Below are 17,848 nucleotides of genomic sequence, written 5' to 3'. Positions count from 1 at the left end.
TGGATGAGAAAACTAAGGACAGACCCAGGACACAAACTCAGGTCCTCTGAATCTAAATCCTGTATTCCTTTGTTATTCTGCTTTGTCATTCTGCTTCTCGGGCAGGTCAGGTGACTAATTGAACCAAAAGTTGTATTTAGCACAGTTCCGCCACTGTGCTTGACACTGCATTTCTTTTAACTGGTATATATATATGTGTGTATATATATATATATTCATTTATATAAATATTTTGGTTACATAAAATATTTAAATCAATAGGTCAGTTATTTAAAAGAAACGACAGCTAACCATATTTAAGAAGAAATGTTAATACTTACATTGTCAGGACCTATTAAACAGCCCACATTTTTCAAGGGACAGAATGTATCAAATTGTCCATAAAAATGTCCACTGCAGGGATTCCATATTAAATAACGACCTTGCTCCCAAGTTAGCACATAGGCAGTTGGACCCTGAAAGAAGATGGCCATTAAAACTAGTTTTCAACTATTTATGCAGTGAAGGCCAATAGTAGTTTGCACAGACAATTCATTATTTTACTTGGACCCTTAATTTCTGAAATTTCATGGTTAATGGTGAAAACTACTTTGAAGTTCTAGGTTATGCTGAATTTAAAAAGTAAAGTCGAATGCTTAGTTTTGCAAAATTCTTGCATCTGATACTAGTACAATGACCAAAAAAGGACAGTCATCATCTTACTCAACCAGTATATCTTAAGATTGGCTGAAGAACTATTATTAGTGGAAATAAGCAGTCACTGGCGTTTTCTTCTTAGAGTCAGTAAGACTGCCATTTAAGTCTATAGAAGGCTGATTATGTTTGAATAGAAATATTTCTATTTCTAATATAGTAATTTATATTTGATAAACATTTGTAACTATGTAAATGCATAGTAGATTTGGAAGGATATGTACCAAACAGTTAAGAATGACTGTACCTGGGGAGGGGAGTGGAATTGGGGGTTGGGGAAGTAGAAGTCCCTTGTCAAGGTATTCTGGATCTTCTGACAAGGGACTTCTACTTTTTACACAGAATACTTACGTATTGTTAGGTTCTATTTTTACAATGAGAATTTTTTTATTATTTATTTAAATTATTATTTATTTATTATTGTTATCATTTATTCCCCCTGTATGATTTCACTTGATGCTCACAACAGTTTTCTGGGGAAGGCGGGGCAGAAATTATCCCACTTTTCTATAAAACCCAGAGTTGTGGAGTGACCTACTTAGTGTCACACAGCTAATGAGGAGTGGGCACAGAACCTTGAACTTCAGCCTTATAACTTCCAAGCCCAGTGTTCTTTTATTGGGACCAGACTATCTGGGAGATAATGATGGAGAATGAATTTGAATATGAATATGATACTACTTTATTACCTGCCTTGCAGCAACTCATGCTATCGAATTTCCAAGGATTCCTAGAGCCTTGTGGCCTCTTTGGATAAACTGCTCTAATGTATGTGAATTTTCTAAACTTACCTATTTGCATCACAAATGTAGGGATATTTGTAGTGGGCTAGGGAAAAATTCTAATAGTCTCCAATCTAATAAAAATAACAATGTTAATATAAAAATAAAGCTGCTAACGTTCTTTTCATTCCTCCTTATCTGGCTTATTCCCCTTTGCATGCCAGGCTAGCAGCAGATACCTATAGAAGCAGTAGGCATGAAAGGAGAGATCTCTAACCTTACCACACACACTCCTTTGGATCCTCTTCATTGCAAAGCATGAAGACTACCACATCATTAAGGGAATCTGAATTCTTGGGAACATGGCTGGGAAGAGGCCCATACTAAAAGGACAGAGCTAGGTGGGGGCTTTGGATGGTAAAGGGTTCGGGTTTGCCAAAAAATAATCTGAAGTGTTGCATGGGGCCCTGAGGACCACTGAAAACCATTTCATGTCTTATCACTGGTAGTTCTCTCTGCCCGTTACGGCATCTGTGGGCCACTTTCCTAGCAACCCAAAGGATCGTTATGAAAATATGTCCTGTGTGTGATCTGGAACACACAACTCGATTAGACAACTATACTCCTCTGTTAAAGGCAGCCTATGTGGTCTTACCTCAGGAATAGCATTGCCCATCAACAGCCAGGCCTTCTTACCCAGAGACAGAAAGTAATTACACAATAGTACTGCATGTTCTTCTTCATCCCCTGCCAGGAGATCAAGAAATTGCTGACAAAAAGAAAAAAAAATTATGTTGTATGACTCAATGCTTTATTCTGGATTGGTTGTGCAGGATTCTAATATGTCATAGTAGAGGTTAGTGTCTTGAAGTGTAAGACCTATAATCTTGCCCGAAATTTTGATACTATGTTGATAATTCATTTTTTTAAAAAACCACTTTTAGTGGGCATGGTGTTTTCTCTGACATTGATGATGTGGATTTCTAGAATCAATACTCACTATGATTGTGGTAGGGTCGGGGAGAAAAATTTCAAAGTTTCGTTTTTATTTTTAATGTATATATAGTTCATGTGCTAAACGATCTTTAAAGCACATTACTTCATTAAACTTACTTAATTCTAGAACAATTTGCATATTTTACAGATGAGCAAGTTGAGGTACAGATTAATAAGGTAACACTTAGGAAGTAGTAAAGCCAGTCTAGCTCTAGAGCAAGGGTCCCCAGTCCCCCAGCTGTGGACTAGTGCCAGTCTGTGGCCTGTTAGGAACTAGGCTGCACAGCAGGAGGTGAGTAGCAGGTGAACAAGCATTACCACGTGAGCTCTGCCTCTTGTCACATCAGTGGGGGCATTAGATTCTCATAGGAGTGCAAACCCTATTATGAATTGCACATGCAAGGAATCCAGGTCGTGCAGGCCTTATGAGAATCTAATGCCTGATGATCTGAGGTGAAACAGTTTCATTCCGAAACCATCCCTGACTCCACCTCTGACTGATCCATGGAAAAATTGTATTCTACAAAACTAGTCCCTGATGCCAAAAGGGGACTGCTGCTCTAGAGTACACAAATTCTAGTCTTTCAGTAACTTCTTATAGATGTCTCAAAGTTGTAGAAATTTTATCTCTAAAATTGTCAACATTTATGTTGCCAAAATGTATTGGGGAACAAAAAATTTAAAGTGCACTTAAATTTCTTCAATTTAGGGCTATACTTCAAAGGAAGTTGTATAATACAGTTCAGTTTTATGCAAAAGCAGTACAACATGAGATCCAGAAGTAGAATTAATACCTGTGATAATATATGCTTGTTTCATACTACCTATGATATATTTGAGAGATTATGCAGCATACATAGATTGTAAATTCCATGAGGGCAGAGACTATGTTTATTTCATTTATAGCCAGAATTTAGTACAGCATCTGGTATGTGGTAAGTGACCAAGAAGTACATACTGAATAAATAATAATTTGCCATGCCTTACAAAGCCCACAAATTAAGGAATATATCATTTCTAATTATAATATAGAATGTAATTTTGGTATTTTTCATGAACAAAACCAAGAAGTTTTACAGTAATACTGGGAGGGTAAATCAGCATTAAGACATCTGAAGTGTTACTTTTAAATTTTTTGTGTAATTAATTTTTTGTTAACTTCTGAACCTTGAGAAAATTGAACCAGGAAGAAAAAATACTTCAAAATTTAGCTCATATTACTAAACAGCCAATTAGATTTTTATGGCTAATGAATGTTGCAATTTAAAATTATGCAAGTCAGTTAGCTAATATTTCATTAAGTCAGCTCAAGTTTCTAAATCTGTGAAGAAGAACTACTTACATCAGATGTGCTCCAGAGGTCACAGATACCACCAAATGAGACAGTGTCAGGCAAGAAGGGAATCAAGGACACATATCGAGCCACCAGTTCCTGTATAATCAAAATGAGCTTTACAAAAATAATTTATAATAAAACAGAATGCTGCATCCCCTACCTCATTTCTTAAATCTCAAATATTACAAACATTTACATGTACAAAATGAAACTAATGCTCACTAAATATTGTATTAATATCTCCATCCTCACCAAACATCCTATATGGAAGGTTATTGTTATTACCCATTCTTTACAGATGAAGAAACTGTGTCCCTTTGACAAGTCTTTTTTAATTTTCTTTCATTTCGCACTACTTTACTTTCTGATATAAAAAGACTTTCTAGAATCATCTTGCATTTTCACTTGGCCCAGTCTTGAAAGCAGTCATTTCTCTAAGGAGCCCTGGTTGAGAGGGTAATAGTACTTGGGAACCAAGACATGTGGTTCCCAATAGTACTTGGGAACCAAAACAGTGAGGTTTCAATGCATTTACACATTGTATAATGTTGAAATCAGGGTAATTGGCATATCCATCACTTTAAACATTTATCATTTCTTTGCGGTGATAATATTCAAAATCCTCTCTTCTAGTTAGCTGGAAATATACTATACATTATTATTAACTGTATTCATCATACTGTGTAATAGAACACCAGAACTCATTCTTCCTAACTGTAACTTTGCACCTGTTGAACAGCCTCTCTCCATCTGCACTCCTGCCTTCCCTCCCCAGCCTCTAGTAAACACTATTCTACTCTCTACTTTGAGATAAACTTTTAGTTTCCACATATGCATGAGATCATATTGTCTCTGTCCTTCTGTCCTGGCTTATTTCACTTAACATGCCCACCAGCTTCACCCATGTTGTCGCAAATGACAGAATTTCATTCTGTTTTGTGGTTGATTGGCATTCCATTGTGTATATTTACCACATTTTCTTTATTCATTCATCCATAGATGGGTACTTTGCTTGATTCCATATCTTGGCTATTGTGAATAGCACTGCAATACACGTGTGAGTGCAGATACTTCTTCGATATACTGATTTCATTTCCTTTGGATATATACCTAGTAATGGGATTGCCAGATCACATTGTAGTTCTGATTTTAATTTGTGAGGACCCTCTATACTGTTTTTCAATATTGGCTGTATTAATTTACATTCCTACCAACTGTGTATAAGAGTTCCTCTTTCTTCAGACCCTTGCCAGCATTTGTCATTTTTTGTCTTTCTGAAAAGAGCCATTTTAACTGGAGTGAGGTGGTGTCTCATGGTTTTGATTTGCATTTCTCTGATGATTAGTGATGTTGAACATTTTTTCATTTGTTTGTTGGACATTTGTCTTCTTTTGAGAAATACCAATTCAGCTCTTTTGCTAATTTTTAAATCAAACTATTTGGGGTTTTCTGCTATTGAGTTGTTTGAGTTCCTTACGTATTCTAGATTTTAACCCCTTGTTAGACACAGCTTGCAAATACTATCTCCTATTCTGTGTAGGTTGTCTCTTGACTCTATTGATTGTTTCCTTTGCTGTGCAGAAGCTTTTTAGATTGATGTAATCTCATTTGTCTGTTTTTGCTTTTGTTGCCTGTGCTTTTGAGGTCTTACTAAAAAAAATCCCCTCCAAATTTCATGAAGTACTTCCCTTGTATTGTCTTTTAATAGTTTCATAGTTTCAGTTCTTACATTTAATTCATTAATCCTTTCAGAGTTGATTTTTGTATATGGTGAGTGATGGGGGCTCTAGTTTTATTTTTCTGCCTGTGGATGTCATTTTTCCAGCACCATTTATTGACCAGACTGTCCTTTTTCCCAATGTGTGTTCTTGGTGCCTTAGTCAAAAATCAGTTGGCTGTAAATGCATGGACTTATTTCTGGGTTTGCTATCCTCTTCCATTGGTCTATGTGGGTTTTTAGACCACAGCCATGCTGTTTTAGTTACTACAGTAGTATATTTTGAAGACAGGTAGTGTGATACTTCCAGTTCTTTGTTCTTTTTACTCAAGGTTACATTGGCTATTTGGGATCTTTTCTTATTTCCATATGAATTTTAAGATTTTTTTTTTCTATTTCTGTGAAGAATGTCTTGGTATTTTGATAGTGCATTGAATCTGTAGATTGCTTTGGGTAATATGGATATATTAACAATATTAATTCTTCCAATCCATGAACACAGGATATCTTTCCATTTATTTGTGCCTTCCTCAATTTCTTTCATCAGTGTTTGTAATTTTCTTTTCTTTTCTTTTTTTTTTTTTTGAGATGGAGTCTCGCTCTGTCACCCAGGCTGGAGTGTAGTGGCACGATCCTGGCTCACTGCAAGCTCCACCTCCCAGGTTCACGCCATTCTCCTGCCTCAGCCTCCCGAGTAGCTGGGACTACAGGTGCCCGCCACCACGCCCGGCTAACTTTTTTTGTATTTTTAGTAGAGACGGGGTTACACCATATTAGCCAGGATGGTCTAGATCTCCTGACCTCGTGATCCGCCCGCCTCGGCCTCCCAAAGTGCTGGGATTACAGGCGTGAGCCACCACGCTGAGCCCAGTGTTTGTAATTTTCATTGCAGAGATCTTTCACCTCATTGGTTAAGTTTATCCCTAGGTATCTTATAAATTTTTGTAGCTATTGTATATGGGATTGCTTCTTGATTTTTTTAAGCTAGTTTATTATTGGTTTATAGAAACACTACTAAATTTTCGATGTTGATTTTGTTTCCTGCAACTTTACTAAACTTATTTATTAGTTCTAACAGTTTCTTGATGGGGTCTTTAGGGTTTTCTAAATTTATGATCATGTCACCTGCAGATGAGAACAACTTGACTTCCTCCTTTCAAATCTGGATGCCCTTTATTTATTTCTTTTGCCTCATTGCTCTAGCTAGAACTTTCAGTACTATGTTGAATAGAGTTGGAGAAAGTGGGCATCCTTGTCTTGTTCCTGATCTTAGAGGAAAACTTTTCAACTTTTCACTGTTCAGTATGATGTTAGCTGTGGGTTTGTCATTTATGACCTTTATTGTGTTGAAATATGTTCCTTCTATACCCAATTCATTGAGTTTTTATCATGAGGGATGTTGAATTCCATTGAATTCTTTTTCACCATCTGTTGAAATGATCAAGTGGTTCTTGTCCTTGATTCTGTAAATGTGATATATCACACTTATTGATTTGCCTGTGTTGAACCATCCTTGTATCCCTGGAATGAGTCCCACTTGACCATGTTGCATTATTTTTTTAATATATTATTGAATTTTGTTTGGCAATATTTTGTTGAGGATTTTTAGAGCTATGTTTATCCTAGAATATAGGCCTGTAGTTTTATTGTTGTTATGCCTTTGGTTTTGGTATCAGGATAATGCTGGCCCATAAAATGACTTTAACAGAGTTCCCTCTTCTTTAATTTTTTTTGGAATAGTTTGAGCAGAATTGATGTTAGTCCTTATTTAAACATTTGGTGGAATTTAGCAGTGAAACCATCAGGTCCTAGGCTTTTCTTTGGTAGGAGACTTTTCATTACAGCTTCAATCTCATTACTTGTTATTGTTCTGTTCAGGTATATTTCTTCATGATTCAGTCTTGGTAAGTTGTATATGTTCATGAATTTATTTGTTTCTTCCAAGTTTTATAATTTGGTTCATAATTGTTCAAATAAGTCTCTTATAATCCTTTGCATTTCTGTGCTATCAGTTGCAGTGTCTCCTTTTTTATTTCTGATTTTATTTAAGTCATCTCTCTTTTTTCTTATTCCAGCTAAAGGTTTGTTGATTTTGTTTATCTTTTCTAAAAATCAGCTCTTTGTTGCATTGATCTTTTGCATTTTTAAGTCTTTATTTTGTTTATTTCTGCTCTTATTTTTATTATTTCTTCCCTTCTACTTAATTTGGGTTTAGATTCTGTGTGCTGTATTCCAAATAATTTCTTTGCTTGTGTATTCTAGTTCAATAATTCTCTTTATATTTAACTGTATGTAATTTACCTCTTATTTAACTGTATTCAATGTTTTGTTTAACCTGTTTAATTTCTAATTTTAACTATTATATCTTTTATTGTTATAAGTTCCACTTGGTACTTTAAAAAATCTGCCTGTCAATTCCAATGCTCTATTGTTTTTTAATTATACTTTAAATTCCCCAAATTTCTTAAATATATTAAACATGTCTATGTTATATTTTACATCCAATAATTCTCCTGTCTGGAGTTACTATGGCCTGATTCTTCAGTTTGTTGTTTTTGTGAATGAACTCTTACCTTCTTTATGGTGATTTACTTCTTCATTGATGATCTTTCATTGTATGTTCATGTTTCTTGGAATTTTTTTCTGTGGAATTTTTTTGAGGCTGAGTTAGAAGGGCATTCTTCTAGGAATATTTGTGGTATTTATGTTTGCTTTCAACAGGGATCTAGGGGCATTACCAACAGGAAATACTTTCAACTAGATTTTCAGTTGAAGTTTTTTTGGGTTATACAGGTAGTATAAATTCCAGTCTCAAATGTGAGTAAATACAGAGTAGGTGTTAGAAAGTTTTCTTTTTTTCTCTTCCATCCAAAGTCAAGACTGAGACAGGCAGTGTTCCTTCTTTAGACAGGGCATTTCCTAGTTTATCCATTGATGGTATTATCCTGAAGAGTCCCAACTCTGCATTTGAGTCTCTAATTCAGTCTTCCAGGCTGCTGTAGCCCCATGCATTATCCCTGTGTCCCACAGCCTTGTGGTCATTGAAACCCAGCTATAGTCATTAGGAATTATCAGATGACCTGAGAGCAAACACTATTTCAAGCTTTCATCATTGTAGAATCTTCCTTTCTTATTTCTTGTCTCTTATATTTTCCCTATCACTTTACTTTCATTTCAGCCATGACTTATTAGATATTTTATTCATCACTCTTAAGTGTTCTCTACTGGGAGAAATTTTCTGTACATCTACTATGCTAGGTAGAATAGAAGTCCCTATTATTGTTTTCTATAAAAATTGTGTAATATAAAAAGCAAATGAAATGTAGAACACAAAGTGGGGTTTTTTTTGATACATCTATATCTACAAAAAGATATATCATTACCTTGTTTCTAAATTAGTATATTAGTGACTATTAGTAGCAATAACTTCCTATATTATCCACTCTCCAAAGGCAGTTATGGGTTATGGTATCCACATAAAATTAGCCTGGTTAACATATGCCTTCTGATTCACACAAGTTTGTGATGGGTATGGTGCTCTGAAGCCAGAGAATGGTGCATGCATATTTAATGGCCCAGTGTGGAAGTACTTTGGAATGATGGTCTAAATGCTGAAAATACTTAAATATTTGAAATAAATTTTGCTTAATTTGAACTCAGTGATGCATATAGCATTAGGCGTAATACTGGATAGTTATCTTAGTACAGTTGAATGTGTATAACTTCTGAAGTCAGAGGCATCAGTTCAAATCCTAACAAAGTGATTGAGAATACATAATGAAAACATGTTTATGTAATACATTTTGGAAGTGTAAAGCATTTTCCATATGTTAATTTTCCAACATATGGAAACTGTCATCCCTGGTACCTTTAGACTTTTTTTTTTTTTTTTTTTTTTGAGACAGAGTCTTGCTCTGTCACCCAGGCTAGAGTGCAATGACACAATTTTGGCTCACTGAAACCTCTGCCTCCCAGGTTCAAGCTATTCTTAGGCCTCAGCCTCCCGAGTAGCTGGGACTACAGGCATGCACCACCACACCAGGCTAATTTTTGTATTTCCAGTAGAGATGGGGTTTCGCCATGTTGGCCAGGCTAGTGTCAAACTCCTGGCCTCAAGTCATCTGCCCGCCTTGGCCTCCCAAAGTGCTGGGATTACAGGCATGAGCCACTGCCTGGCTGCCTTCAGACTTTTCTAAAGGAAGAAAACCTCATGTTAATAAAAATGTTTTAATCATTACTTTTGTCATTAATGATCTCGATATAGTTAACATCTTAAGCACTATGAAATATGGTAATTAAAATGGCAATATATTGAAATGTGAAAACAGTTTTAGCACAGCACTTATTGACTATGAAATACTTACTGCAGTTGCCTGTAGATTATTGGGGTAGACATTAAGGAGCTCCTGAGGAGGGTTTAAAGGTTTGAGATAACGTGTGATAAAAACAGTTTTTCCGCTTATATCAATTACTGTTGTAAGGCACTGACGATTTGGAAACTTTAAGGCACATTCAGCTTGAAACTTCTCAGTTGCTTGAAGTAATTTCTCATCTTCCTGAGACTCAAACTTCAAAAAGAAAGACTTCATGGAGTTTATGTATGATTACAAGAGAGAAAGTACGTGTTCAGATTCCACAGTCAACATGCAGGAAATGTATGGTTTGGGAATATGACTGACTCCTTACAAAGCTGTCATGTCCTGGTGTCCCTGCAGCTTTATTTAAATTAAATTTGTAGTTTGAAAATTAGACCGACTCATTAAATACTTAAAATATATTTGACAGGATTGAAATAAAGTAGCAGGTAAGCAGCCATATGGAAACTACTACATTAATAATCTATGAAAATTAAACTGTGATGTACTAATTCTGATTGATGAGGCTAGAATTAGGCAGTAGAGTTTTGTGTGTATTTTGATGGTGGTTTTAAGTGTGCAGGCTGGGGGGCGGCCCCAGAAAATCTAACATCTCATATGTAAATCTTAAGCAACTCATGTTAAATGGGCAGCAAATTTATGGATCTATATCAATGTGTTAAAATGTTTCAAGTCCATAAGCAGTGAAATAACTAATAGTAATGGATCTCAAAGGAAAAAAGAGGCAGAACTAGAAACATCAAATGTATAAGAATTATTTTAAATAACTGGTTGCTCATCTTGGTTCTCTGAGCCAAGATGAGCAAACAATTCCCAGACTTTTTTTTTTTTGAGACAGGGTCTTATTCTGTCACCTAGGCTGAAGTGCAGTGGCACAAACACAGCTTACTGTACCCTCAAACTCCTGGGCTCAAGTGATTCTCCCACTTTGGCCTCCTAAAGCAATGGGATTACAGGCGTGAGCCACTACATCCAGCCACCAATTCCCAGACTTTTAAAAAGTAACTCAAAGCAGATGAAACAGAACAAATGTAGATTTCCTTTACACACATATTGTCATTTCCCCCACTAAAGCTGCTACTAACAAAAATAACATGAAAAAGAGTGGGTCTTTAAATATTTTTAAATTTTTTTTGTATAAAAATATTTTCATAGTTGGTTACATTTTAAAGGATTTCAGAACAAATTGAAAATTTTATTTTAAAAATTAATTTTGGGGGCTGGGCACAGTGTCTCACACCTGCAATCCCAGCACTTTGAGAGGCTGAGACAAGAGGATCACCTGAGCTCAGGAGTTTGAGACCAGCCTGGGCAACATAATGGGACCCTGTCTCTATTAAAAACAAACAAACAAACAAACAAACAAACAAACCAGGTGTAGTGATGCGTGCTTGTAGTCCCAGCTACTTGGGAGGCTAAGGTAGGGGGCTCACTTGAGCCTGGGAGGCGGAGGTTGCAGTGAGCTGAGATTGAGCCACTGCACTCCAACCTGGGCAACAGAGTGAGACTCTGTTAAAAAAGAATAATAATTTTAAAACAGAATTTAGAGGCAGTGCTTGAAAATGTTTTTGACATTGTGATATATTTGTTTTCTCAGTCTTTCCCACAAAGTAAGATTCCTGACTTCAGGGATTTTGTTTTTTTATCTCCAGTGTGGAGAATACTACTTGGCACATAGTAAGTATTTAACAAATGAGTGAATGAATGAGGCAATGGAAAACATTTCATTACTTTTTATGACCTCAAATAGAATCTAGATTATCCCAATTGTTCTTGTCTGCCCCTTATATTGGGGCTGAACTGTGGCTTCTATTCCAGATTTGATTACTATACCCTAAGAAGTTGGAGTAGTGGTTGTAGGGGTTATTTAGGATGGAGATATCTCCAGAAGCCTCCTATATATTCTCATAAAATGTCCCTTGACATCTAAATCTTAACATCATCACAGTCATAACTGCCTGCTGCTGAGCATAGTGCCAAGACAGTAGCTACCTAATAAAAGTTACGATGAATATGTAACTAAGTGAAAGAGGTAAGCTCATACAGCTTTGGTGTAGGTGTATCACAGATTTCTAATGTAGAATGGTCAGTCCAGGAGTAATTGTAATTGTGGAAAAATGGAGAATTATAAAACAAGAATGATGTGCAAAAAAGGACACAGTTGAATTCATCTGTGTTCCTCTAAACTATTTCATTTACTCATTCATCCAAGTTTTGAAAAATGTTGGGAGTCTGAAAAATTCCAGGCACTCTGGATAAATGAGTATGGAAGAATCCTCCAAAAGAACTTTTAGTCTACAGGGGAACATTAATAAGCAATCAGGGACTTGAGACCTACAGTGCTGTGGGAGCATGTAAGAGAGGCAGCTATAGGCACTGTCCAAAAGAACAACAACAATCTTGAATCAGTACTGATTATTGGCCTTCCAAGTTAAAAAAAAAAAAGTGTGTCTAAAGCTTTTTCTACCACTTTCATTGGAATGTTCTGTTGAGTCACTTGCCTCTATAAGCAGTCCTTCTTGAGGCCTGTGTTTGAATATTCCTTATGTACACCTAGCATACACATGGTAAGCATTTAGTCTTTAATACTTGTCTAGGCCACCAAGATGCCATTTTATGGTGTGAAACAGGAATTTAAGGATTAGTAGTATGCTATGTTAGTGATCTAAGAAGTGCCAAGGAGAAGTTAAATACTGAAAGAATTTGGGTCACTTATGATGAAACAAATTAAGGTGGAGCTGACAAATTTCAGTTTGATTCAACAGAAAATTTGAAAGGTTCTTGACTGGCTCAATTCTTTGGCCTCTAATGTAAACATTTATAAAAAACTGAATGGGTGTATGTTGCCTTTGAAAAGCTACACTGGCCAGGTGCAGTGGCTCACACCTGTAATCTCAGCACTTTGGGAGGCTGACGCCGGAGGATCACTTGAGCCCAGGAGTTTGAAAGCAGCCTGGTCAACAAAAGGAGACCTCAACTCTACAAAAAAAATAAACAAAATTAGCTGTGCCTAGTGGCACATGCCTGTGGTCCCAGTACTTGGGAGGCTGAGGTAGGAGCATCACTTGGGCTGAAGAGGTCGAGGCTGCAGCAAGCTGTGATGGCACCACTGCACTCCAGCTAGGTGACAGAGCAAGACCCTCTCTCAAAAACAAAAAACAACAACAAAAAAGAAAAGCTGTACTGAGACAGCCCCAACCCACCAGAAATAACTTTCAGAGATACACTGTAAGAAGCAGCTCGTGGGTTTTATAGATTTGCAAAGAGTAGAGCTAGCTCCCAGTATGCAGGTGACATTCAGACTGATGACTTCTTAGATTCAAAGCTAACTAACAGTCTTTCTGGTAAAATGAAATGGGCCAAAAGATAAGGCAGGACATTCCTCATGGAACTGGAGACATCTGTAATTCAATGCCCAGGCATTACACATACGTTAGGACATAACACCTGTCCCTCAGGTGGCAGTGGACAGAAGCAGCTAATTAAAGCCTAATAACTATTGACCAATAAAATAGTAAAACAAAATACTTAGTACCTTCTTAAGCATGTTACTCATCTATCAGAGGCAAGAAAGAAAGAAAGAAAAAGAAACAAGAGGCAGGCTTTAGTAACAGAGATAATCTTTAAAAAAACATTTTTAACAAGATCATGTAAGTGATATTAAAATAAGAGTTTCAGGAGTTTCTACCCATCTTTAAAAATTTTCCATTGGTAAATATGTTTAAAACATCCTATGGAATGGTTCCATATGGCATGGTGGTAGAGGAGAGACTCTAATCTGCTAATCCAGGAAGTATTGCTGTAAGTGGAAAAACAATTCCAGGTTGTTGACCCTATAATTTTAGGATGAGACCTTCTCTTTCCTGAATTGTCTGCAAGTGAATCACTGAGCAGTGTTTTCTGCCACTGCCTCTTTTGGACATAAGGGTTCTGTCAATCAACATGCCTTCCTTATCAAACAGCCACAAAGAATCTGCCTTCCATAGGGGTTTTTTAAGCCCTCATTTTAGAGGTCTAAGATAAATGCTTTCTACAGCCACAGTGCGGTAGTGACCTGCCACCAAAGGCAGAATCTGACTGCCATTTAATAGCTTTAGGGAAGGAAGGCTGCAGGACTTGAGGACTGTGGTTCAGAGCCCTGGAGGCCTCTTTAAAGTCCTGCAGTAAGAAGTCAGGGCCCGTGAGGGATGCCTAGTGTGGAGGAGTCTTGGGCTTTCATCCTTTCTGCCAGGATAGACTGCTTTCACGTGTTTTAGAAACACACCCCCAAGGTGGGGTCCTAGCTGACTGCCTGTTCTTCTGTTACATATACATAGAAACAGCAAAATCATCTTTTGTCTGGAAGTATTTTTGTGTGTAAACATGTTTATTGGCGTTCATTTGAATTTATATTATACATGAAGACAAACATTCAGAATATATTTTCCCTTTCTAAAATATTTTGAAATGCATATATCTAGAGAAGCACTGTTTTACTGACAAAATATACAATTAATTTAAATTTCAGTGCATTGCAGATGGGAGATAGTGATGATATTTTTCTCTGGGAACCAAATTGTAATACTGGAAAAAAAGGAGTATGTTTGTTTTTTTCCATCTCTATCTAAGTCTTAATTATAATGGATAGACTAGAGTAAGCACAATAATCTGTGCACTATAGGTTAGTAGTTAACAACTTACGCTTACATGTGAATGTAAGCTTGGAGGAATTTTTATTTGCTTTTCTAGCCTACTGTACTCCCAGTGCCTAAGAAATGTCTGTCACACAGAAGATGTGCAGTAAATATATGCTGAATATGTACAGTTTAGAGTCAGACAGACATGTGTTACCTCTGCCTATGTCACCCTGCATAAATTGAAGCTTATTTTCCTCTTCTGTAAGTTGGAGACCCCTTGTCCAAGACACCTATGCATATTCAGGTCAGAACATGCATCCAAGGTTTGACATAGTGCTAAGGACAGAGTACGGATTCAGTACATCATGGTGGTTGTTGTTGATGTTATTACTGTATTTGTTTACATATGAATAAGAGGTCACCATCAATATATTCTCCCAAATCCAATGAGGGCAGTATGTATAAATGCTATACAACTATGTTACAGGAAGACATTTATTTCTTAACACATTTATGCCTGAGGTTGCAATTTTTTGAATTTTTGCAATCAGACCTTGGAAATGACCTTGAGAGGTAGGATATAAATAACTCCCACATGCGTAGCGTTCCAGTAATGGAACACTAGGCATAAATAGGTTTAATGAAGGTTCAGGGACAGTTGCTAACCAGTGAAAGTTCTGGAAACTCTTTTCTAGAGCTGTTTAAAAGCATACTTGTACATATATTTATTTCATGAAATGAATTGAGGTGACTCATGAAGGTCATCTAGTCTTATGATCCTATGAATTGATTCAATGCATACCATAGCCAAGGATGTAAGATCAGACATGGAAATGTATTCTTGCCAATACTTGTCAAATAAAAGAGCAATCTGATATTCTAGTTTGTGATATTTCATTTTCTTCACATTGAGAACATTCTTCTAGAAGTAGAGCATGTTTATATTTGTCTTGCTTTGACTAAAAGTCTTAAGTTTTAGGCAAAGCAAGATAAATATAAACATATTGCTGATTGACCCGATTACTGGTTCAGTGAAAGTACAAACCCACACATCTGTTTTCTCACCACCATTCTATCTAAACTGAAAGAATAATAAATGGAGATTGAAGTAAGGAAGGCTCTGTTTGTGTAGGAAAAAGTTCATAAAAGTATAGCCTAGCAAGCATTTCTTGTGTTTTATCAACATAGACATGGGTTTCCAAACTATAAGTAGTTACCTTTTCTCGAATGGACTCTCCAGGAACCAGCTGGGGCTCAATGGTAATAAAGAGGGTAATGTAGGAGCCTTCACTTAAGCTTCGGACAGAATCAAAACCCCGCTCAAGAATCATATTTCGCTCCTTACTGTAGCCCAGAAGAACTGGGGGAATATCTATTTTAAATGTTCCATCAATCTGTGAAGAAAATATGACTTGGTAAACATCCTGATGCTTTTTCCAACAGAAGTTGAGAGGCAAGTGTCAACTCCTCATTGTTTAATAAATTGAACCAAAATTGCTCAGACTGGCATTCAAAGCCAATCCCATCTTTCTAATCTCATCTCTCTAAGCACTCGCCAGAAAGGGCTCTGTACTTCCTTGCCTTCTTTTCATTGTTTAGCAGAGGGTGTACTGAATATACAATTTGCTTAGGTTCAAGTCTTGGTTTAAACGCAGTTTTGGGTTCAAAACTTGGTTTACAAATGAGGAATCTGAGGCTTCCTCATTAGTAAAAAGAGACAATAATAGTATCTACTTTGTGGGGTTGTTATGAGTAGTGAATGAATAGATATAAAACACTAAGAAAAATGTCCAGCATATGGTAAGCAATCAATAAATATTGGCTACTGGCCATTCCCCATTTCTAGAATGCCCAACTTCCCATCTCCATTTTTCAGAATTTTAATTATATTCCAAAGCTTAGATCAAATGTTATCTAAGGATACAGGAAAACAAGAGTATAAAAACGATGGCAGGCCAGGCACAGTGGCTCACGCCAGATATCCCAGCACTTTGGGAGGCCGAGGCAGGTAGAGCACTTGAGGTCAGGAGTTTGAGACAAGCCTGGCCAACAAGGTGAAACTCCATCTTTACCAAAAATACAAAAATTAGCCAGGTGTGGTGGCACACGCCTGTGGTCCCAGCTACTTGGGAGGCTGACACAGGACAATCGCTTGAACCTGGGAGGTGGAGGTTGCAGTGAGCCGAGATGGCGCCACTGCACTCCAGCCTGGATGACAGAACCAGACTCTGTCTCAAAAACGAAAACAAAAAACTATGGCATGGAAAGTACAGCTGAAATAACCGAGCTTGTTTATTCTGTAAAATAGATGACACAGGAAGGAATGTGTGCCATTTTTGAAGATTTGAAGTATAAGGATTTAAGACAGGGTTTCTCAGCTTGGGCACTATGGTGGTTAAGTATCGATTGGACTGAAGGATACAAAGTATTGTTCCTGGGTGTGTCTGTGAGTGTGCTGCCAAGGGAGATTAACATTTGAGTCAGTGGACTGGGTGGGCACCATCTGATCAGCTGCCAGCATGGCTAGGAGAAGAGCAGGCAGAAGAATGTGGAAGGACTAGACTGGCTGAGTCTTCCCCCCTTCATCTTTCTCCCATGCTGGATGCTTCCTGCCCTCAAACATTAGACTCCAAGTTCTTCAGTTTTTGGACTCTTGGACTTACACCAGTAGTTTGCTAGGGGATCTAGGGCCTTCAGCCCAGACTGAAGGCTGCACTGTCAGCTTCCCTACTTTTGAGGTTTTGGGACTCGGATTGGCTTCCTTGCTCCTCAGCTTGCAGATGGCCTGTTGTGGGACTTCACCTTGTGATCGTGTGGTCACTTCTCCTAATAAACTTCCTTTCATATATATATATCTATCCTATTAGTCCTGTCCGTTTAGAGAACCCTAATACAGGCACTATAGATATTTGGCCAGATAATTGCTTGCTATGGAGGTCTGTCCTGTGCATTGTAGGATGTTCAGCAGCATCCCTAGCATCTGCACACTAGATGTCAGTGGCAGTACCAACTCTTATTAGTTGTGAGAGCCAAAAATGTCTTTAGACATTACCAAATGTGGGTACACTTGAGAGCATGCACTTTGGAGTCAAACTTTTTAAATGACAGAAGTAATAAAGTCATTCTCCAAAATGTACTGAAACATAGAAACAAAAAAGTTCAATAGTTTTCTCTGCTTTTACCAACCTCATTTCCCAGGCATAAGCAATGATAGTATATTGAAAGCCAGTACAAGTTGAATCCCACCTCTATTGTAAACTTTGTGATTTGAGCAAGTTACTTAACCTCTCTAGGCTTCTGTTTCTCCATTTATAAAATGAGGATGACAATGCCAATTGTGTTGTGAGGTTTAATTGAGGTGATGTATAAACTACCCGGCAATAACATATAAT

General features: G+C 37.1%; 1 protein-coding gene across 3 annotated transcripts in view; it reads right to left on the bottom strand.

The window, feature by feature from the left end:
• The window catches only part of CC2D2A (coiled-coil and C2 domain containing 2A), a 131,693-nt gene that overhangs the window by 11,558 nt on the left and 102,287 nt on the right, over window positions 1-17,848 (bottom strand). For all 3 annotated transcript variants that reach the window (NM_001080522.2, NM_001378615.1, NM_001378617.1), the window contains 5 exons: window positions 15,674-15,850; window positions 9,829-10,032; window positions 3,754-3,843; window positions 2,071-2,184; window positions 321-455 (listed from right to left, as the gene is read on the bottom strand). In NM_001080522.2, the coding sequence (NP_001073991.2) occupies window positions 321-455; window positions 2,071-2,184; window positions 3,754-3,843; window positions 9,829-10,032; window positions 15,674-15,850 (720 nt within the window). The remainder of the gene's footprint in view (window positions 1-320; window positions 456-2,070; window positions 2,185-3,753; window positions 3,844-9,828; window positions 10,033-15,673; window positions 15,851-17,848) is intronic.

This window comes from Homo sapiens, chromosome 4 (assembly GCF_000001405.40).
Source record: "Homo sapiens chromosome 4, GRCh38.p14 Primary Assembly".
Classification (NCBI taxonomy): domain Eukaryota; kingdom Metazoa; phylum Chordata; class Mammalia; order Primates; family Hominidae; genus Homo; species Homo sapiens.
Note: the sequence above shows the minus strand (reverse complement) of the source record. Positions and strands in the feature narration are given on the sequence as shown.